This window comes from Homo sapiens, chromosome 13, assembly GCF_000001405.40.
Source record: "Homo sapiens chromosome 13, GRCh38.p14 Primary Assembly".
Taxonomy (NCBI): Eukaryota; Metazoa; Chordata; class Mammalia; order Primates; family Hominidae; genus Homo; species Homo sapiens.
The window spans coordinates 37,531,012-37,554,520 of record NC_000013.11 but is presented as its reverse complement, the minus strand read 5'-3'; the positions used below and the strand labels follow the sequence as shown (position 1 = coordinate 37,554,520).

General features: G+C 37.6%; 1 long non-coding RNA gene across 1 annotated transcript, besides 1 other annotated feature; it reads right to left on the bottom strand.

Moving 5' to 3' along the window:
• Positions 1–2,984: 2,984 nt before the first annotated feature.
• Positions 2,985–19,581, bottom strand: LINC00547 (long intergenic non-protein coding RNA 547). The gene is made up of 5 exons (NR_040244.1): positions 19,557–19,581; positions 18,670–18,706; positions 6,617–6,687; positions 6,281–6,425; positions 2,985–6,020 (listed from the first exon to the last, which is right to left on the bottom strand). It is a non-coding gene; the product is annotated as a long intergenic non-protein coding RNA 547 (long non-coding RNA).
• Positions 7,751–8,251: an enhancer, noted in NCBI's record as "H3K27ac hESC enhancer chr13:38120407-38120907 (GRCh37/hg19 assembly coordinates)". NCBI's record gives its function as "activates a minimal SCP1, AML or CMV promoter by ChIP-STARR-seq in naive H9 embryonic stem cells {active_cell/tissue: H9 hESC(naive)}" and the evidence as "EXISTENCE:reporter gene assay evidence [ECO:0000049][PMID:30033119]".
• Positions 19,582–23,509: the final 3,928 nt, after the last annotated feature.

The window sequence follows — 23,509 nt, the reverse complement described above, 5'->3', positions numbered from 1 at the left end:
TATGTAAGGTGAAATGTTTTCTCCAAGCATGTGAACTTTCTTTTCATTCTCTTAACAGTATTTTCAAAACACTGAAGTCAAATTTATCTCTTTTTTTTTCATGGGTTGTGTTTTTCGTGTCATTAAAGAAATACTATGTTCACTGAAAGTCACAAAAATGTTCTAATACACTTTCTCTTATAAGATTTATTAGTTTTTTCTACATTAAGTGTAATGTTAAAAAAAAGTGTTCATGGTTAAAGGAATGGTTCTTTTTTTTCTATAGGTTACCAGTTATTCCAATTCCATTTTCTGAAAAAACGATTCTTTCTCTACTGATTTGCCTTTGCATATTTATAAAAAGGGCCACATTTTTTGGGTCTATTTCTGTTACTTTATTTCTATTCTTTCTTTTTGTTCAATTCATCTATTTGTGTTTCTTATTGCAAATACCACACTGACTTGATTACTGTAGGTTTAAAATAAGTCATAAAATCAAAAAGGGTAAATCCCCAATTTCATTCATCCTTTTCAAAGTTGTTTTGGCTATTTTAAGTTATTTGCATTTCCAGGGAATTTTTACATCAGCTTGGCAATTTTCTATTTAAAAAAATAAAAATATCTGCTGGGTTAGTAATTGGGACTGTGTTGAATCTACAGATCAATTTGGCGTTAATTGAAATCTTTATAATAGTTAGTCTCCAAACCATGAACAAAACATATCTGTTAGTTTACTTAGGGTCTTCCTTATTTTCTCACCAATGCTTTATCATTCTAAGTTTACAGGTCTTCCACATCTTTAAATACTTAGGGAGAACTTGACAAAAGATGTGGAAGACCTGTAAACTTAAAATGACAAAGCATTGGTGAGAAAATATTATAAAGATTTCAATTTTTTGATGGAATTATAAATGGCATTGTTTTTATTTAAATTTCTGATTGTTTACTTTCTGTACTTTCATCTTGTATTCTGTAACCTTGTTAAATTCAAGGTTTAATTCTAGTATTAAATTAATTCTAGTATTTTTAAGATTATACAGTATTTTATACATAGATAATTATGCTGTTTGCAAATAAAGATAATTTTACCTCTGTCTCTGTGATCTGGATGCTGTTTATATTTTCCTTTCTTATCTCACAGGTTGATGTTGAATAGTGGAACAATATCGAGTAGAAGTGGTAAGAGTAGACATGTTTAATCTTTGTGATCTTAGAAAAAAGCATTCAGTCTTTCAACTTTAAGTCTGTTGTTTTCTTCCTTAAACATTTGGTAGAATTCACCAGTGAAGTTATCTAGGCCTGCAATTGTCTTTGAGGGAAGGTTTCTAAATACAAATTCTCTTTATTTAATAAATAAAGGGTTATGCTGATTACCTATTTTTTCTTGAGTGATATTTTGTAGTTTGTGTCTTTCAAGGAATGAAACTTGTCTATTTCACACAATTGTCAAATTTATTGTATTGTTCAAAATATTCCGTTATAATCCTTCAAATATCTTAGCAATGTTACCTCTCTCATTCCTGAAACTGGTAATTTGTGTCCTCTCTTATTTCCCTAACCAATCTACTAAGCCTTCAATCAATTTGTTGATTTTGTTCAAAAAACAATCGTTTGGTTTCATTAATTTTCTGCGTCATGTTCCTGTTTTCTGCTTTGCTGATTTCCACCATAATATGTGTCATGGCCTTTCGTCTACTTAATTTGACTTCAATTTGATCGTTATTTTTTAGTTTCTAAACTGTGTGTGTTTGTGTCTCATGTCTCTACATAACTTTTTGAACATATGGACTATAATTATAGTAACTGTTTAATGTCTTCTGCTAATTCTAATAATTGCGCCAGATCTGGGTAAGTTTAGTTGGTTATTTTTTTTCCCTCATTTTGCACCGTATTTTCCTGTTTCTTTTCATGCCTGGTAATCTCTGGTTGCCAAACATTGTAAATTGCCTTGCTGGGTGCTGGACATTTTTGTACTTCTATAAATATTCCTGCACTTTGTTCTAAGATTATAGTTTGGTTATGGAAACAGTTTAATTCACTGGGGTCTTGTTTTTAAGATTTATTAAGCAGAGTCAGATCTGTGTATAATCTGGAGTTAATTATTCCCTCCAATTTAGGCACGACTCTTCTTAGAACTATTCCCAATGTCCAGTGAATTATGAAGTTTCAAAATCTAGATGGTGGGAATAGGTGCTATTTAAGGCTTTATGTGAGAAATTGTTTTCTCTAATTTTTCAGATGGTTCTTTCTCTGACCTTTATTGGTTTTCTCATATGCATGTGTTGATCAGTATTCTGCTGAATACTTAGGTGAACCCTCTATGGATCTCCAGAGTTCTCTGTCTCTACAGCTCTGTCCTCTCTGGTCCTCGGTACTATGAACTCTATTTTCTTGGCCTCCTTCAATACTCAGCTCCATCTTGTCTGCCAAGATTCACCTGGATTTCCCATTCCTGCACTGCAGCCTAGGAAAAGACAGAAAGCTGGGGGCAATCACAGGGCTCATCTCACTTTTCTTTTTATATCCAAAGAATCACTGTGATTCATTGTCTGATACCCAGCATTTTGAAAACTGTTCTTTATTTTTTTTCCGGGTTCAAGCAATTCTTGTGTCTCAGCCACCTGAGCAGTTGGGAATTCAGGCACATGCCACCATGCCTGGCTAATTATTGTATTTTTAGTAGAGATGGGATTTTGCCATGTTGGCTAGGCTGGTCTCAAACCCCTGACCTCAAGTGATCCGCCCACCTCAGCATCCCAAAGTGCTGGAATTATAGGTGTGAGCCACTGCTCCCAGCCCTGTGTTTTAAATTTATTTTTGTTTTTTAAAAATGGTTTTACTCAGAAGAGAAAATATGGTCCCTGTTATTCCATTTTTCAAAAGTGCAACATCCTCTGCCATAGCATTTAGTTATATTAACTCCACTTTATAATCGTAAACTTCACCTTTACATAGGAGCAGCCAACTAGAAAATGCTAAATATAAGACGAACCAGACTGGAAAGTGTTGTAAGACACTCACAAATCTATTATAGGTAGCAGAAAAAGAACCCAATATGAGCTATCTTACAGCCAGTATCATTGTTACACAATATGCACACATAATCCAACATATACCAATTAATTATTCAAAAATGGCAGCTGAATTTAATTTATTGAGATTTATTTTTATATTCATCCAAACAGCTATTTATTTTCAATTATTGGAAAAACATTTCTTGAAGTTTCAGTACTTTTTAGTTTGTCTTGTTTTGTTTTTTGTTTTTGTTATCAATTTGTTTTTTTACATATAGGATTATTGCCTTTACTTCTGTGGGGTCTTTGTAAGGTCTTATACAACATCTGATAATACTCACTGATGAAATTTCTACAATATAATGAGAAAAGACTGGTGATTTTCTAGCCAACCTAAGTTCTGAAAAACTCTTGAAAAACTAGGCCATATGTGAATAAGAATGCTAGATGACTTTCACTTTTAGCAATAACACAATTCACTAATGCATTTTCTAAACTTTTATGAAGTCTCACAAAAAGTTATAAAAATATAGAAAAGTCTGAAAGATAAAGAGTGTATTAGTCTATTTTTTTACTCCTATGAAGAAATACCCAAGACTGGGTAATTTATAGAGAAAAAGAGGTTTAATGGACTCACAGTCCCCATGGCTAGGGAGGCCTCAAAATTATCACAGAAGGTGAAGGAGTAGCAAAGGCACATCTTACATGGTGGCAGGGAAGAGAACATGTTTAGAGGAACTACTCTTTATAAAACCATCAGGTCTCATGAGACTTATTCAGTATCATGAGGACAGGAGGGGAAAACCCACTCCTATGATTCAATTACCTCCCATCGGGTCCCTCCTAGGATACATGGGAACTGTGGGAGCTACAATTCAAGATGAGATTTGGGTTGGGACACAGTCAAACCATATCATTCCACCCCCAGCCCCTCCCACATCTCATGTCCTCACATTTCAAAACCAACCATGCCTTCCCAACAGTCCCCCAAAGTGTTATCTCATTTCAGCATTTACTCAAAAGTCTATATCCAAAGTCTCATCTGAGACAAGGCAAGTTCCTTCTGCCGATGAGCCTGTTAAATCAAGAGCAAGTTAGTTACTTCCTAGATAAAATAGGGGTACAGGCATTGGGTAAATACAGCCATTCTAAACAGGAGAAATTAATTAAAACAAAGGGGCTGCAGGACCCATGCAAGTCCAAAATCCAGTGGGGCAGTCAAATCTTAAAGCTCCAAAATGATCTCCTTTGACTCCATGTTTCACATCCAGGTCATGCTGATACAGGAGGTGGGCTCCCACAGCCTCGGACAGCTCTGCCCCTGTGGCTTTGCAGGGTACAGCCTCCCTCCTGGCCGCTTTCCTGGGCTGGCATTGAGTGTCTGTGGCTTCTTTAGGTGCACAGTTCAAGCTTTCAATGGATCTACCATTCCGGGATCTGGAGGATGGTGGCCTTCTTCTCACAGCTCCACAAGGAAGTACCCCAATAGGGACACTGTGTGGAGGCTCCCACCCTACATTTCCCTTCTGCACTGCCCTAGCAGAGGTTCTCCATGAGGGCTCCACCCCTGCAGTACACCTCTGCCTCGACATCCAGGTATTTCCATACATCCTCTGAAAACTAGGCAGAGGTTCCCAAAACTCAGTTCTCAACTTCTGTGCGCTCACAGAACCAACACCATGTGGAAGCTGTCAAGACTTTGGGACTCGCACTTTCTGAAGCAATGACCTGAGCTGTACTTTGGTCACTTTTAGCCATGACTGGAGCATTTGGGACACAGGGCACCAAGTCCCTAGGCTGCACACAGGAAGGAAGCCCTGAACCAGGCCCACAAAACCATTTTTTCCTCCCAGGTCCCTGAGCCTGTGATGGGAGGGGCTGCTGTGAAGGTCTCTCATATGCCCTGGAGACATTTTACCCATTGTCTTGGGGATTACCCTTTGGTTCCTCATTACTTGTGCAAATTTCTGCAGTGGCTTGAATTTCTCCCCAGAAAATGGGCTTTTTGTTCTACCACATTGTCAAGCTGCATATTTTCCAAACTTTTATGCACTGTTACTTCTTGAACACTTTGCTGCTTAGAAATTTCTTCTACCAGATACCCTAAATCATCTCTCTCAAGTTCAAAGTTCCACAGATCTCTAGGGTGGGGGTAAAATGCAGTACATCTCTTTGCATAGCAAGAGTGACCTTTACTCCAGTTTCCAACAAATTCCTCATCTCAATCTGAGACCACCTTAGCCTGGATTTTATTGTCCATATTACTATCAGCATTATAGTGAAAGCAATTCAACAAGTCTCTAGGAAGTTCCAAACTTTCCCACATCTTCCTATCTTCTTCTGAGCCCTCCAAATTGTTCTAACCTCTGCCTGTTACCCAGTTCCAATGTTGCTTCCACATTTTCAGATATCTTAATAGCAGTACCCCACTCTACCAGTACCAATTTACTGTATTAATCCATTTTTATACTGCTATGAAGAAATACCCAAGGCTGGGTAATTTATAAAGAAAAAGAGGTTTAATGGCACAGTCCCCATGGCTAAGGAGGCCCCATAATCATCCCAGAAGGTGAAGGAGGAACAAAGGCACATTTACATGGCAGCAAGCAAGAGAGTATGTGCAGGGGAACTGCCCTTTATAAAACCATCAGATCTCATGAGACTTATTCACTATCACAAGAACATAGGAAAACCCACCCATATAATTCAATTACCTCCCATCAGGTCCCTCCCACAACACGTGGGGATTATGAGAGCTACAATTCAAGATGAGACTTGGGTGAGTACACAGCCAAACTGTATCAAAAGGTAACTAAGAGACTTCATAAACGATAAACAATTTTATATTACATTCTTCAAGTAATTAGTGGTTGACCATAACAACAATAAACTTGGGATTATAAGAAATATTCCATATGAATTTTTAAAAAATACTTAAAGAGAAACAGAATCTACAAACAAGTATGTAAATTAAGGATCCAGCACAGTGGAAGAAATTTTAATAAGTGCTTCTTGAATAAATTTTTCCTGAAAAGTAATTTAAACATTTGGTTAACTTTAGAAACTGTTCATTAGGCCATTTTTATTACCAAAAAAAACCCAGAATTTTTTTCTTAATATGACAGAAAAATACATCATTTGATTAAAATATTAAGTCACTAACTTATTTTGCTCTAACAGAGTTCAATTAAATTTTTCCTGAAGTTCATTAATATTGCCAAAACTTGAGTTGCAATCATTTGAACTATGATTTCTGTTTGCTTCTCTTAATACAATAAAGCAATTACCTCTCACATCCTTTGTAATGATGACATCCATGTACACTCCTTGCAAAGATGGCAAATGACCTGCCAGAAACATACATTCCTGTGTAATCTCTGCAAACCCAAAGCTGCTCCTTTATTCGTGATCTTAGCTCTGGTGTAAAGAGACCTTCAAAAAATTAACATAAAGAGAAAAATAAAATCAGTGGATTTTCTTCTACTATTTCTCTAACTATATTTCTCTATCCAATTTTCTTGCCAAGCATAGGAGAAGCATTAGAACAATTAATTTATAGAGTCTTGAAAGGCTGAGGCAGAAATTAATAGTTTATACTACAATATTCATTGAATAACAAATACCTTTAATTACTAGATCTTCAACTGGAACATCTCGGTAGACACATTGGGATTCATCAAGGAAACAACTCGACCTAAGGAGAATGGAGAGGAGCAAGACAGGATGACCACCCACCTGAGAGTATCACAAAGTCAGGGGAGTCTTCCTCACCATGGGAAAATGATGAATGAGTAAGAGTCCCTGGAGACCCACAATTCTTCCATGGACCTTTGCAACCCTGAACTCAGGAGATGCCCAGTGAGCTCCCAACCAGGGGCTCCAGACCAACACAGAGAGCTATGGGGAGTCTGGGCAGAGCTGCCGCTCAGGCACATGCAGAGTCCCTGGAGCCTTGATTCCCTGGACATCCCAGAATTAGCAGCAGCAGCTCTGGCTGTGGAGGAGGACAGGTTCTCTCCCATGCCCACAGGAAAGGAACTAAATCCAGGGTCCTGAGCAGCAATGGACTGCAAGCCTCACCTCCACTGCATCTCACAGGCTAAGTCCCACCTGCCTGGGTCTCCAGCCACCAACCCTCTGGACTCTAAGCAACTAACAGCTCTGTAATTCTCTGGGATAAAGCTCCCAGAAAGAGAGGCTGGCCAGCATTTTTGCTGTCTTGCAGCCCCCGCCTCCATAGCCTTCAGGCTTGAGTAGTGATTAGGGAGAGGCGCGGATCTCCATTGCAGTGTAGCCATCCCATCGAAAAGAAGTCAGGCTATTTTTTATGTGGCTCCCAGATGGCTCCTGCTTTTCCTCATGGGGCAAGACCCACCAAACTGGGACTCCAGCCACATCCCACCAAAGATCTTGGGCCAGTAGCAGCTCTGCACTTTCCTGGGACAGAGCTCTAAGAGTGAGAGGCCAGATGCCATTCTTGCTGTCTCACAGCCCTTGCCACTATACCCTGTGAGTTCTGGGGAGTATGTGGTGATTAGGCAGTGGTGTGGCTCCCAGCACAGTGCAGCCATCCCACAGAAAAGTGGCCAGACTCTTCTCCATGTGGGTTTCTGTCCTTGCTTCTCTTCACTGGGTGGGACCTTCCAACTCCAGCACAATTCCCTTACTCCGCCTTGAACACTTCAGTCAGAAGCAGCTCTGCATTTCTCTAAGAAATTCCCAGAGAGAATCCACAACCCTTCTGCCATTGCAGCTGCAGAGGTACTGCCCTAATCACCCTTGGATGAGAGAAGAAATAAAGAGTCTAATTGTTATTCTGGCACCACCAGTATACTGCAGCCCATTCGAAGAGAAGTCCGGTCTCTCTTCCCTGTGAGCCCTCACCTTCTCCCCTCACCAAGCAGGGCCCCTGGCTTGGTACCAAGAACAACCACCCCATCCCTGGCTGAACATTCCCACTGCTAGTGGCTCTGTGTTTCCTGAGAAGAGGCTCCCAGAGGCAAGTGACAGCCCCCCTACTACTGCCAAAACAATGGTCCTGCCCCTGCTGCCCTTGATCTAAGAAGAAACAAAGACTTTGAGGGGTTCACCTGAGCTTCCAGCACACTACAGTCAGCATATGGAGAGGAGCCCAGTCTCTTCTCCCTGTGAGCCCTCGTTCCCTGACTCTTCACCAAGCAGAGCCTGTAGCTTGGGCCAGCAGAGCAATTGCCCCACCCCTTGGCCGAATATTTCCAGCAGCAGCAACTCTTTGTTTCTCTGAGGTGGAGCTCCCAGAGGCAACTGAAAGCCCCACTACAACTGCCACTGCAGTGGTACTGCCCTTGCTGCCCTCAGACCAGGGAAGAAGCAAAGACCCTGAGTGCTTTACACACAGATTCAGCAAGATGCAGCCACCCTAATGAGGAGAGGAAGTCTGTCTTTCCCAGGTCTCCCCCCGCGCTCCACCCCACTGCTGCTAGTCACCAGGCAAGTCTCTCCCAGCTTGGGCCTATAGCACAGATGCTCCATCCTGGGCCAATCACACTGATTGATAGTGGCTCCACATCTGTCTGTGGTGGACCCCCAAGAGACAAATGACCACACTAGTTCTCCAGCAAGGGTGGTTCTAGGGCTGAAATAGCTGAAATGACAGAAATATAATTCAGAATAAGGATAAAAACAAAGATCATCAACATTCATGAGAACATAGAAACCCAATCCAAGGAAGCAGAGCATCACAATAAAATGTTACAGGAGCTGAATGATTTAAAAAAAAAAAAAAAAAAAGCCATCATGTAAAAGAACTAAACTGACCTGATAGAGCTGTAAAACAAAGTAAAAGAATTACATAATCCCAGCACTTTGGGAGGCCAAGGCAGGCGGATCACGAGGTCAGGAGATCGAGACCATCCTGGCTAACACGGTGAAACCCTGTCTCTACTAAAAATACAAAAAAATTAGCTTTGCATGGTGGCGGGCTCCTGTAGTCCCAGCTACTAGGGAGGCTGAGGCAGGAGAATGGTGTGAACCTGGGAGGTGGAGCTTGCAGTGAGCAGAGATCACGCCACTGCACTCCAGCCTAGGCGACAGAGTGAGACTCCGTCTCAAAAAAAAAAAAAAAAAAAAAGAATTACATAATGAAATTGTAAGTGTTAACAGCAGAATAGACCAAGCTGAGGAAAGAATCTCAGAGCTTGAAGACTGACTCTCTGAAATAGTCAGAAAAAAATGAAGAAAAAAGGATAAAAAAGAATGAACAAAACCTCTGAGAAACATGGGATTATGTAAAGAGAGCAAACCTGTGACTCACTGGCATTCCTGAAAGAGATGCGGAGAAAGCAAGCAACTTGGAAAACATTTTTCAGGATATCGTCCATGAAAACTTCCCCACCCTTGCTAGACAGACCAATATTCAAATTCAGAAAATGCAGAGAACCCCTGTGAGAACCATCTCCAAGACACAATAATCAGATTTTATAAGGTCAAAATGAGAGAACAAAATGTTAAAGGAAGCTAGAGAGAAGGGGCGGGTCACCTACAAAGGGAAGCCCATCGGGCTAACAGCTGGCCTTTCAGGAGAAACACTGCAAGCCAGAAAGAGATTCAGAGCTTATATTCAGCATTCTTGAAGAAAATAATTTCCAACCAGGAATTTTGTATCCTGCCAAACTGAGCTCCATAAGTGAAGGAGAAATAAGATCCTTTACAGACAAGCAAATGCTAAGCAAAAGCAAATGCTCACCAAACCTGCCTTACAAGAGGTCCTGAAAAGTGCACTAAATATGAAAAGAAAGGATGATTACCAGTCACTAAAAAAACATACATAAGTACACAGACCAATGACACCGTAAAGCAACCACACAAACCAGTCAACCTAGTAACAATACAATGATGGGATCAAATCTGCACATACCAATATTAACCTTGTATGTAAACAGGCTAAATGCCCCCAATTAAAAGACACAGAGTGGCATGCTGGATAAAGAAGCAAAACCCAATCTTACACGCAGTGACAGCATAGCCTCAGAATAAAGGGATGGAGAAAAATCTACCAAGCAAATGGAAAACAGAAAAAGCAGGGACTGGTATCCTAATTTTAGATAAAACAGACTTTAAACCGACAAAGGTTTTTTAAAAAGATAAAGAAGAGCGTTATATTGGGTGAGTGCAAAAGTAATTGCTGTTTTTGCATTGTTGGAATTTGCCATTTGGTATTGGGATATATTGCCAAATAAATGTGGTTATGTTATACATCATTTTAATGGGCATTTCTCGCTTTATGGTTTTTTGCTAATGACTTATTACTTGCTCTTTATGTTATGTTTATTTTAGGCTATGGAAATGATGTTAGACTAAAAGAAAATGTGAGCGATTTTCTTATTCAAGTTCAAGATGGGTCATAAAGCGATGGAGACAACCTGCAACATCAACAACACATTTGGCCCAGGAACTGCTAACAAATTTACAGTGCAGTGGTGGTTCAAGAAGTTTTTCAAAGGATATGGGAGTTGACAATGACAAATTGAGAGTGATCATCAAAGCTGATCCTCTTACAACTGCACAAGAAGTTGCTGAAGAACTCAATATTGACCATCCTATGGTGATTTGGTATTTGAAGCAAATTGGAAAGGTGAAAAAGCTCCATAAGTACCTGCTTATTGATGCCTCATGAGCTGAACAAAAATAAAAAAACTTGTCGTTTTGAAATGTCATCTTCTCTTATTCTACACAGCAACAATGAGCCATTTCTCAATTGGATTGTGATGTGTGACAAAAAGTGGACTTTATACAATAACCAGCAATGACCAGCTCAGTGGTTGGACGGATAAGAAGCTCCAAAGAAAGAACTTCCCAAAGCCAAGCTTGCACCAAAAAGAGGTCATGGTCACTGTTTGGTGGTCTGCTGCCAGTCTGATCTTCTACAGCTTTCTGAATCCCATTGAAACCATTACATCTGTGAAGTATGCTCAGTAAATCGATGAGATGCACTGAAAACTCTATCGCCTGCAGCCAGCACTGGTCAACAGAAAGGGGCTGATTCTTTTCCATGACAACATCTGAATGCACATTGCCCAACCAACACTTTGAAAGTTGAACAAATTGAGCTATGAAATTTGCTTCTCACCAACCAACTACCACTTCTTCAAGCATCCCGACAACTTTTTGCAGGGAAAATGCTTCCACAACAAGCAAGATGCAGAAAATGCTTTCCAAGAGTTTGTCAAATCCCAAAGCACAGATTTTTACACTACAGGAATAAACAAACTTATTTCTCATTGGCAAAAATGTGTTTATTATAATGGTTCCTGTTTTGATTAATAAAGATGTGTTTGAGCCTAGTTATACTGATTTAAAATTCATGGTCTGAAACCACAATGACCATTGCACCAGTAATGGTAAACGATTCAATTCAAAAAGAATACCTAACTATCCTGAGTATATACACACCAAACATAGCACCACCCAGATTCATAAAGCAAATTCTTAGAGATTTATGAAGCGACTTACATTCCCACACAATAATAGTGAGAGATTTCAACACGCTACTGACAGTATTAGACACGTAATAGAAGCAGAAAATTAACAAACATCCAGTACCTGAACTGAACACTTGACCAAATAGACCTAATAGACATCTATAAAACTCTCTACCCCAAAACAACAGAATATACATTCTTCTCATGGCTACATGACACATACTGTAATATAGACCACACAAAAGGACATAAAACAATCTTTTGCAAATGCCAAAGAACCAAAATGATACCAACCATGTTCTTGGACCACAGCACAATAAAAATAGAAATCAATACAAAGAAAGTCACTCAAAACCATACAATTGTATGGAAATTAACCTGCTCTGGAATGGTTTTTTGATAAATAATGAAATTAAGGCAGAAATCAAGAAATTATTTGAAACTAATGAGAACAAAGATACAATACACCAGAATCTCTGGGACACAGGTAAGGCAGTACTAACAGGGTAATTTACAGCACTAAATGCCCCCGTCAAAAAGTTGGACAGATTCCAAGTTAACAACCTAACATCACAACTAGAAGAACTGTAGAAGCAAGAATAAACTAACCCCAAAGCTAGCAGAAGACAAGAACTAACCAAAATTAGAGCTGAAGTGAAGGAAAGTGAGATGTGAAAAACCATACAAAAGATCAATGAATGCAGGAATTGGTTCTTTAAAAAATTAGTAAGATATACAGACTGCTAGCTAGACTAATAAAAAAGAGAGAAGATCCGAATAACACAATTAGAAATCAAAAGGGGGACATTACCACTGACCCCACAGAAATACAAAAAAAAAATATTAACAGAGACTACTCTGAACAGCTCTTTGCAGACACACTAGAAAATCTAGAAGAAATGGATAAATTCCTGGACACATGCAACTTTCCAAAGCTGAATCAGGAAGAAATTGAATCATTGAACAGACCAATAACGAGTTCTAAAGTTGAATCAGTAATAAAAAGTCTACAAACCAAAAAAGCCCAGGACCAGACAGATTCACAGCCAAATTCTACCAGATGTAAAAGAATAAATAACTGGTACCATTTTTACTGAAACTATGCCAAAAATTGGGGAGGATTAATTTTTCACCAGCTCGTTCTATGAGGCCAGCATCATCCTGATACACATCAATTAAAAAAAAACTTCAGACCAATATCCTTGATGAACATTGATGCATAAATCTTCAACAAAATGCTAGCAAACTTAATCCAGCATCACATCAAAAGCTAATGCATCATGATCAAGTAGGCTTTCTTCCTGGGATACTAGGTTGCTTCAACATACGCAAATCATTAAATGTGATTTGTCACATAAACAAAATAAAAACAAAAACCACATAATTATTTCAATAGATGCAGAAAAGACTTTCAATAAAATTCAACATTCCTTCATCTTAAAACCCCTCAACAAACTAGGCATTAAGGGAACGTATTTTAAAATTATAAGAGCTACCTATGAAAAACCCACAGCCAATATCAAACTGAATGGGAAAAAGCTGGAAGAATTCTCTTGAAAACAGGCACAAGACAAGGATGAAAAGTCCAGTGGTATCAGGAACACATGGGCATATACATGAAGACTTTAAGAGTGTCTTAGTGAAGAGCCTGCCTTCTAGTCCTATTCTCCTGTTTGCTGTATTTCTTTTATTTTTCCGTTTTCCCTGAATCTGGCCTTTGCTCCCATTACTATCCTTTGGATCCTTATGATTTGCTTTTTAGACTATGGCAAGTTTCCCAATTGGACTTCCTACTTAAAGTGTCTCTTGGTCTTATTTCATTTGTAAAAATTCAATTCATTTTTATTTCTAAAACTCAGTTCTGATAATGTCACTCCATTGCTCAGTGACTTTGAACACTTTCACTTAACTATAGAAGAATGTCTACACTTCTATTCAGACATTTAAAATGCCCTTGGAAAATTAATATTAACTTAACCTCATTCTAAGAGTTGACAAATACTGTGTATGCTGACATAAATTTTATTACTCCCCATTTCCTAGATGAGCTTGGTATAATATTTCCGATGTTTCTTTCCTCTTTATGTTGAAGACTCCACTCAAGTCCCACGTCGTCCCAGGCACCCATGTGGATATGCCCAGACAAACCACCCCATCCTCTTCTGATCTCACAGAGTGCTTTGGTGAAACCTCTCTTTTGTCACATATCTTAGCCAATCTTGTCTCTCTCCAGAATTAGTTTGTTCAGCAAACATGAAGCTGTATTATCATGCCATCTTTCCTAAAAAATTTTAGACTTTAGATAAAATGCCACATTTTCTTCTCATCCTTGTATCCCCATGGCTCCTAACGTTTCATATGGATTACATTTAATGAATGACTAAAACAAATTTATTTTAAAATTTTATTAAAGGCCTTTCAAATATTTCTCCTGAATCAGAATTGTAGTGTTTCCAATTGTGGCTCCGTCCAATTTCTCTCCATTTGTAATAAACATTCCTAGACAACAAAGCTGTAAACAACACATTCAGAGGAAAAAAAAAAAGTGGTCTCAGAATCTTTTCAAGCTGTTGTCAACTGTACACATCTGGTGGTGGTTATTAGTCACAGGAAAATGCCTAAGAGTTTACAAGTTGTATTTTAGTTAGTTCTCCTTCAAAGTCTCTCCATGTTAGCCAACCATTATTAGTCCCTGACTGTACCAGCCCACTCCATGTACACACACGTCGCTTCCTACTTCAAATCTTCCTGCTTGTTCTTTATACTGGTAAAGTGAGAAACTATAATCAATCCCAGGTTGAACACACTCTGAGAACTCCAGAACTGTATTTTCCCTTCACATGGACATATTGCTTTAAATTCACACCAGATTTTTGTTTTGTTTTGTTAAGGATTATTTGGCTCTTAATAATGTGTTGTTAATTAACTGTTATTGCATTTGGCAAAATGATAGCCCCATTATGAAACTGATCTCCCTAGTGCAGATCCAACTCTAAATACAAGTTACTGATAACTCATGAACTTGTAGAGTTTTACTCTTCAAATACTGCAATTAATACCTATTCTTAAGCATAATAATAGATTCTTGTCACATATATGCACAGAGTACACCAAAGTGCTTGGACACAGAATTCAGAATTATTCCAAATTTATTGTGGTATGTTATTTCTCTCAATTTCATGAGTCATGACATATAGGAGATAGAAAAAGTTAATTTAAATGTTATGTTCTCACATCATCTAATTGGATATGACATATTACTATTTTTAGCTGCATTTCTCAGCTTTTATATTAATGTATTTATTAGGATCCATTAGCTTGCAAACAACAGAAAATCAACCCATAATAAATTGAGCAAGACAATAAAGTGTTAGTTTATATACAACTAAATACACTCAAATAGCTGATAGATGTCAAGGAAGAGCTGCACACCACAAATTTAGGAATTGGGACTGGGGATTCTATCTCTTTCTAGTTAGATTTTTGTTTTTTTATTTTGTTTTGTTTTGTCTCTGTATGTTCCTAGGGTATGGAACATGGCTACTGATAATCTCAGTCCATAAACCCTAGATGAAAATATTGTTTTATATGTCAATGCCAAAAAAAGGGAGAGCAATTGATCTTCCACCAGTTACGTGTTCACTCTTTGGACCAGTCATTCTGGCAAGAGAATGTGGTGATAAGAATGCACATAACTTACCAAGACCCAGATGTCTCACATAAAACAGCTACTGCAGTGCACAACAATCTGTAACATGTTGAGGACTTCTGTGTTAATGTCATGAGAGGCGGTGCATGATAATATAGGGAAGTAATTAGGAGAGTCCATTGTTTCATGGAGATAGTCAGGTTTGGATGAGCAACAGGGAAGCTTAATAGTGTGATAGTATTTTAACATATATGGTTAGGTAAAACTCAGTTCTTAGGTATCAAGTGGGTTAATAATAGTTCAGATATTCTCTCAAGAGGTGAAATGTAGCTGCCTCCTCATCTGTCACTGTAGATGTGTTCCCCTCCTATGCAGCAATAACCTCTTTACCTAATGCCCCTTGTATCTGCCTTCCCTGCTTTTTTAAACAGTTTTCCTTGATCCAGGGAAGGAAATGTAAGTCATAAAATTATTCTAATTTCTTACTCTCTTATCTTTTTTTTCTTTTTTTGGCTGGGACAGAGTCTTACTCTATCACCCAGGCTGGAGTACTGTGGCACAATCTCAGCTCACTGCAAATTCAACCTCCCAGGGTTCAAGTGATTCTCCCACCTCAGCCTCCAGAGTGGCTGGGACTAAAGACACATGTCACCAAGTATTTTTGTAGAGACAGAGTTTCACCATGTTGCCCAATCTAGTCTTGAACTCCTGGGCTCAAATTATCCTCCCACCTAGGCCTCCTAGTGCTGAGATTACAGGCGTGAGCTACTGCACCCAGTCATATTCTCAAATCTTTTAAACCAAAATTTATTCTCTTAGAACACAGCACTCCTGAAAATACAAGTAGCATATGAAGTAATGAAAATACAAGTAGCATACATCAATTATGAAAAATCATCAAGTCCTTGTTTAGTCATTTTTATAGCTGAGTATCCTTTATTTATGCCTGGGTGATCTAAAAAGCTCATTGTTATCTATTTCTTTTATTTTTTCAGCTCTAAAATGTTTTAATGGAATATATAATTCAAAGGGGAATTATCTCTCCTAATTTAGAAAGTACTTGGAATTTATTTTTAGCAACAGTCACCCAAAACATAAGATTTAACTTCTTATCCAAAGACAAATTTCTGAAGAACTGCTACATCTATATTAAGTCACAAACTGAGGTGTATACAAGCTATTACCTGCTTAGTAGATTACTATTGTTTCTTGCTATACTCCAAATGTTCGTGTCCTTCTAAAATTCATGTATTGAAATCCAATCCCCAATGTGATAGTATTAAGTGGTGGGACATTTGGAAGGTGAGTAGATCATAGGGATAGGGCCCTTGTAAATAGGATTAGTGCCTCTGTAAACTCTTGAGATCTTTACAACCAATCAAATGGATATATCAAATAAGTTTTTGAACACAAGAATTTACAATTCAAATAAGAAAATTTAACTAGAATAGCTATAATCTGTTCATGTATAGCCACACTGATATTTTTTGGAATTATAAAATTAATTAGATTAGGCCGGGCACGGTGGCTCACGCCTGTAATCCCAGCACTTTTGGAGGCCAAGGCAGGCAGATGACGAGGTCAGGAGATAGAAACCATCCTGGCTAACATGGTGAAACCCCATCTCTACTAAAAAAAAAAAAAAATACAAAAAAATTAGCTGGGCGTGGTGGCAGGCACCTGTAGTCCCAGCTACTGGGGAGGCTAAGGAAGGAGAATCACTTGAACCCTGGAGGCAGAGCTTGCAGTGAACTGAGATCGTGCCACTGCACTCCAGTCTGGGCGACAGAGCAGGACTCCATCTCAAAAAAAAAATTAATTAGATTAGGAGACAAATTAGAGAGAAGAAAGAAGATATATGGATACCCTGAAGAACTTCAGTAGCTGGAGATTAGTAAGAAGAGGAACATCTAGGACAAGAGATTGAGACAGAGAAGCAAAAGAGATGGGTAAAAAACCAAGGTCATAGTTTCAAGGGAAGCAAATGTTTCCAGAACAGAGTGAGCCAATGATGGCCGAAGTACATCCACTGATTATTCCAATGTAGATGTCATTATGGGCCTTGGCAAGGGAAATATTGGGAGCAGAATCCAAGAGTGGATTAACAGATAAAGGAAAAGCAAGACAATCACAGCAGTGTAAATTTTGAGAAATTTGCCTTTGAAGGGAACAGAAAATGGGAAGTACTTGGAGAGGGCTAAGGAATCATGAGAGGTGCTTTCTTAAAGAAAAACATATGAATATTTTTATTGAAATAATTCATTAAAATATATAAATTATAAGTATTACATGAAGCAAGATACTTCATGTTATAAACTGTTCAGGAAAATTTTCTGGGTGGTAGAGTAAAAATATATCTAAAATATCTTATTAAAATCTTCCACACATCCAGATGAGGCAAATATGGACTCAATATTTTGTTTCCATAATCTTTTCTTCATTAACACTCTCATGATTTTTTTTTACCATAATTTCTCACCTGGATTACTGCATGCTATGGTTTGAATGTGCCTTCTCCAAAATTCAGGTGTTGCTAATGTGAAAGTATTAAGAAGTGGGGACCGTAAGAGTTGATTAGGCCTTGAGGGTTCCTTCCTCAGGAATGAGATTAAAGATCTTATAAAAGAAAGAGACTTTATACAATGTTCAGCTAGCTTGCTCTTCCACCTTCCATCATGCGAGGTCACAGCAACAAGGCACCTTGGAAGCAGAGAGCAGCTCTCACCAGACAACTGAATTTGTTGGCACCTTGATCTTGAACTCTGCAGACTCCAACATGGTGGGAAAATAGTTTTCTGCTCTTTATGAACTACTCACTTTCAGGTATTTTCTAAGACACTACATTAGTGTCTAATTGCCTCCAGCCTCTTGCTTCTTTGCTATCAATAATTTTTCAAAATCACAAATATGATGTCTCTTATTTAAAGTGTTCACTTTATCTTTTCGGGATAAAGGGTGAACTCCTTCCTCCAGCTCTTTATAATCAGCCTCAATCTCCTAAATATCTTCTCTCACTTCATTAATCATGCACCATTTTTCCAAACTACAATAATGTATTCAATATATCCTGACTCTTTCCTTCATACTTTTGCATATTCTTAGAATACACATTTGCTTAAAATGTTCTTTGCAACAATCTTCAAACTCAAACCACACTCCTAAATACATACACCCTCAAACATAAAATCCCCTTTTATAACTAGTTAACTTACAGTCATCTTTCAACCCTCAACTTAGATTTCACTTCTTCTGATAAGTTGTCTTAACCCACAAATTTGTTTTAGAGGCTGTCTTCATAAAGTTCATTTTACCATAATAGCACTTATCCCACTGTATCATGTCATTTATTTTTTTATCAGAATTGAAAGAAACTAGAAGTCTTTGAGGCAAGTGTAATAGTTCATGGACCTTGTAGCTCCAGAACATACTGCAATGGCTGGCAATTGTGCTGAACATGAGATATAGCAAAATACCTGGAAGAAACTTGGAAAGAGTGTTGGAGAGAGAAAGGAAAAGATTTACAATTTATAGAAGTTTCCCAAGTGAACTTCAATTCTAATATGCTCACCTGTTTGAGAACTACTGGTCTTGGTGAACATCTATTCCTGGGAAGCAAAAGGAAAAAAATACTTCATTATTTTGTTTATGAGCCTGAAATCATACCCAATTAAAATAATACTTTGTTTTTCTTAACATAGCGTCTGCTAAGAATTGCAGATGTCAAATTTTGGCACATTTGCAATAAACTTACTAAACAGAAATTTAAAATTCATTACTTGAATCAGATAGGAGATTGGAAGAAAATAAAAAGTAACATTAATGATAACCATATTTTCTTCAAAATAAATTCCATGGTTTTTAAAAACAAAAACAAAAAAAAACAAGAAAAAAAAACGTTATTCTATATGGTTTGGCTAATCCAGCTAGAATTGTGACTGCAAGTTTTGAAGTGGTATATTTTTACTGTTAAAGAAAAAAAAAGTCTACGGCCGGGCGCAGTGGCTCGCACCTGTAATTCCAGCACTTTGGGAGGCTGAGGCGGTCAGATCACGCGGTCGGGAGATCGAGACCATCCTGGCTAACGCGGTGAAACCCCATCTCTACTAAAATACAAAACAATTAGCCAGGCGTGGTGGTGGGCACCTGTAGTCCCAGGTACTCGGGAGGCTGAGGCAGGAGAATGGCGTGAACCCGGGAGGCGGAACTTGCAGTGAGCCGAGATCGCGCCACTGCACTCCAGCCTGGGAGACAGAGTGAGACTCCATCTCAAAAAAAAAAAAAAAAAAAAAAAAAGTCTACAGCCTTCAACCATTAAATAATACAGGAAAAAACTAGAGAAATTCTTTTGCACAATTTTATATATACATTTTCAAAACTGATTTGGCTTAAAAAAATCTGCATTCTATTCATGTCGGCTTAGTAAAGTGTTTTCCTTCTCCAGTCACCTATCTATACCTTCTTCTATTCTTTCCAAACTAACAGTAGGCAACAGAACCATCTGCCTGCTATAAATACATTCAGAAGTTATTCCTCAAACTCAGATTACCATTTAAGGGCAAGGGAAAACAAGGAGTATATTTAAACTTCTCATTCTGATTTGTTTATAGGTCATGAACTTACAGAACTTGATTACTTGATTGTCATTTTCAGAATTATTTGTCATAATGCTATGCTTACTAAATAGTTGGTTTTTGAGAGAACATACCATCTTTTTATAGAAAAACAGAATAAAACCACAGTAAAATATTTAGAATTTTTAACATCTTTTGAATAATATAATTCTAGAGCTACGATTTTTAAAATGAAGCAAATTGAATTTCATTTTCTCCTGCCTTTCCACTTTTGAAATGCATCAATGAATTCGTCTGTAATCCACATCTCAGCTTGAGGCCACCTCATTTATTTACCCAACTCTGTCCTTCTCTCAGTCCCCTTCCATATCTAAGCCTTCCTGAATCTCAGCCCATACTCACATCACATACTCGGATCTGAGCCTATTCCTAAGCCAAGCTCAGACATAATGAGAAATGAATTGAGGGATATCATGTTTGATACTCTTTAAAACAGATGTGTCATAATGAGTCAGATCCAAATCACAGAACTCTCAACTGCCGCCATGATGAGATTGCATTATTCCACAAATGACAACAAATGAAGCTTTCCCCCAAGAATGTAATTGAATATAAAAAAAAATAGTAACCATATGGAAAATAGTTTTCTCATTACTGGAAGGAAATTAAGGAAAATTGAAATTATTAAAATTAAATTCATAAAATAATTTTCCTAAAACAATTTCCTCTGGCTAGATACGTATTTTTGAAATACTTGTTTTGGATTGTGATTTGCTTTTATTTCTCCTTTTATATGTTTGATATTTATTTTTTAACATTATTTATGGTCAGGCTTATTTGAGACATGTAAGATCTTCATTTGGAATATTTAGGCAAACACAAGCACTTTTAAACTAAGTTATTCAAACACCCTGGTTTTTTTAAATCCTATTTTTTTGATCAAAATTATACTACATCTTTATCTGTGACACTTAATGAAGTAAAATGGACAATTGGAATAATTATATTAAAAAGTCGAGACTAAATCCAGTTTTCTGTTTCATTGGTACTAAAAGAGCAAGAAAAAAGAGTGAAAAACAAAAAGCAGAAGAAAATGCATTAGAAAATAGCACATTGATCTCCCTATAAATAACTATTGGGTAAGTTCTGCAAAGTGTTTTCTAACCGTGGTTTGTTTTTTTTTTTCAGTATGCAAGGACAACATGTAGACAGGTTTGAATCCCTTTTTCAGTTATCTGAAAAAATAACCATATTGCTTTTGAACATCCACAAATTAAATGAACCATTTTAAAAAAAGCCATTCCATTCTGAGATCTTTGCTTTGGGATCAAGACAATCTAAACATTAGTTGATACTATCTGTACAGGGTTACAAATTAACCACTTTCAAGTTTCAGAGGATATGAACTAGTATACTTAAGCCAAACCTTGAGAAGATGTGAAAGACTATATCGATAGCCATCGATGTTTTCATAATACACACATGAGAAAGACAAAAAGCAAAAAGTCTAGAAACTATATCAAGAAAGCCAATACCAATTGAGGAAGTGTCTGGCTTTAATACAGAATAAAGAAAAAGAACCCGCTAAGAGTTTACAATGCAATGGCACATCATAAGTTACTGCAGTATAAATAATGCATCTCTACCATATTCCATTTCTGAAGAAAAACAGATTTTTTTGGTAATAATCTGTCTTAGTCTGTTTTTTGCAACTATAACAGAAGACCACAGGCTGAGTAATTTATAATGAAAAAAATGTATTGCTTCACAGTTCTGGAAGCTGGGAAGTTCAATAAAAAGGTGTTGGCATTTTGCGAAGACTTTCTTGCTGTATCATCTCATGGTGCAAAGGCAAAGATAGGGCAAGAGAGAAAGCCAAAAGAGATTGAACTCCCCCTTTTTATAACAAACTCACTCTTGCAATAATGGCCTTAATCCATTCATTCTGGCCTCCTGACATAATTGTTTCTCAGTAGGCCCTAACTCTTAACACTGTTGCATTAGGGATTAAGTTTCCAATGCATGCTTTTTGGGGACATATTCAAACTATACATAGTCTGCAATTTAATTGTAGCTATAAAAGTGGAAGCAGCAAAATAATCTTTGTTAATAGAAAGCAAGTTCATCTATTGGAATGGGGTTAAGAGTCATCTATTGTCACGTAAAAGGCATTGGGCAGACTGTCAGAAAACAGTAATGGGTATTTAGAAGAATCACAGAGATAATGGCAAAGAAAGCTGCCAATTTCTTGAAACAGCTAAAAACTTAGAAGCTGTAAGCCTTATTTTCCCAAACTTTGACCTCTTGCAATATAGTTGTCAGTCATTTAAATTCTACATATAATTTAGGCATAACAGTAATATTTTATAGTTAATATTCATTTATATCAACCAACGTATTTACTTTTTTTTTTTTTTTGAGATGGAGTCTTGCTCTGTCACCCAGGCAGGAGTGCAGTGGCGTGATCTCTGCTCACTGCAACATCTGCCTCCCAGGTTCAAGTCATTCTCCTGTCTCAGCCTCCCAAATAGCTGGGACTACAGGTGTGTGCTACCATGCCCAATTAATTTTTGTATTTTTAGTAGAGATGGGGTTTCACCATGTTGGCCAGGCTGATCTCGAACTCCTGACCTCAGGGGATCTGCCTGCCTCAGACTCCCAAAGTGCTGGGATTACAGGAATTTACTCTCATTTTTTCTTTATTCTCTCCCGCTCTTCTGTGTTTTGAACATTTTTTTTTTGCCTAAAAATATCCCTTCATTTATTTTTTTTAGTTCAAGCTGAATGCTGATAAACTCTCTTCATTTTTGTTTGTCTGAAAATGCTTTATTTCACCTACAGTTTTGAAAGATAACTTCACAGTATATTAAATTATAATTTGGTAATTATTTTCTTTCAACACCTAGCAATGTCATTATATTATCTTCTGGTTTTCAATGTTTCTCTTGAGAAATTAATAATTTTTGTTTCTTTAATAGAAATACATCTTGCCTTCAGACTGCTTTTAAGATTTTTCTCAGCCTTTGGTTTTCATTGATTTAATCACTTTATATGCAGGTGTGGTTATCTTGTTTAAATACTCTGGGTTTCCAGAGCTTTGGATATAAAGGTCGATATCTTTCAATGGTTTGGAGAAATTCTTGGATGTTTACTCCTCAATGTTATTTATGATTTATTCTCTCTTTTTTTCCTGGCACATCAGTAAGATGTATGTTACATTATTCTAATAGTAGAATAATGTAATGTCTGATATTTTAGCTCTGCTCTGTGGTTTCCATGCTTTTTACTCTCTCTGCTTATATTCGGTTATGTTTTATTGTTCACTTTTCCACTTTACTAATCTTGTCTTCTCATGCACCCAATTATTACAGGACCAACAATTTCCTATGTCTGCTGTGTAGTAACATACCAATACACTGAGACAGCAGAGTTTACAGCAGAGAAAGAGTTTAGGTATCCAAGGGCAACTAAGCAAGGAAATGGGAGGAGATCCTCAACTCCATGTCCCTGAGGAGTTCTGGGGTCAGATTTTTAAGGGGATTGTGTAGAGTGAGAGGCTGGAAAATCGGGTTCATTGATCAGTCAGGGTAAGGGGGATAAAATCTTCAGCATGTGGAAACTACATTCTTTGGTGAGTCAGCTTCTCACGGCATCCTTCAGACCAGCTTATCTCAATAGTTTCACTGGTATTCAGGACTTGAAAGAATAACTGAAATGGAAAACTTTACATTTCACAATATTCAAGTTGTTGTCTATAGGGCAGTTAAGGTGATCTATGACCTTGTGACAAGGTTTTCATGCTTCTGGGACAGTAGGAAAACAACTATGAGGAAGTGG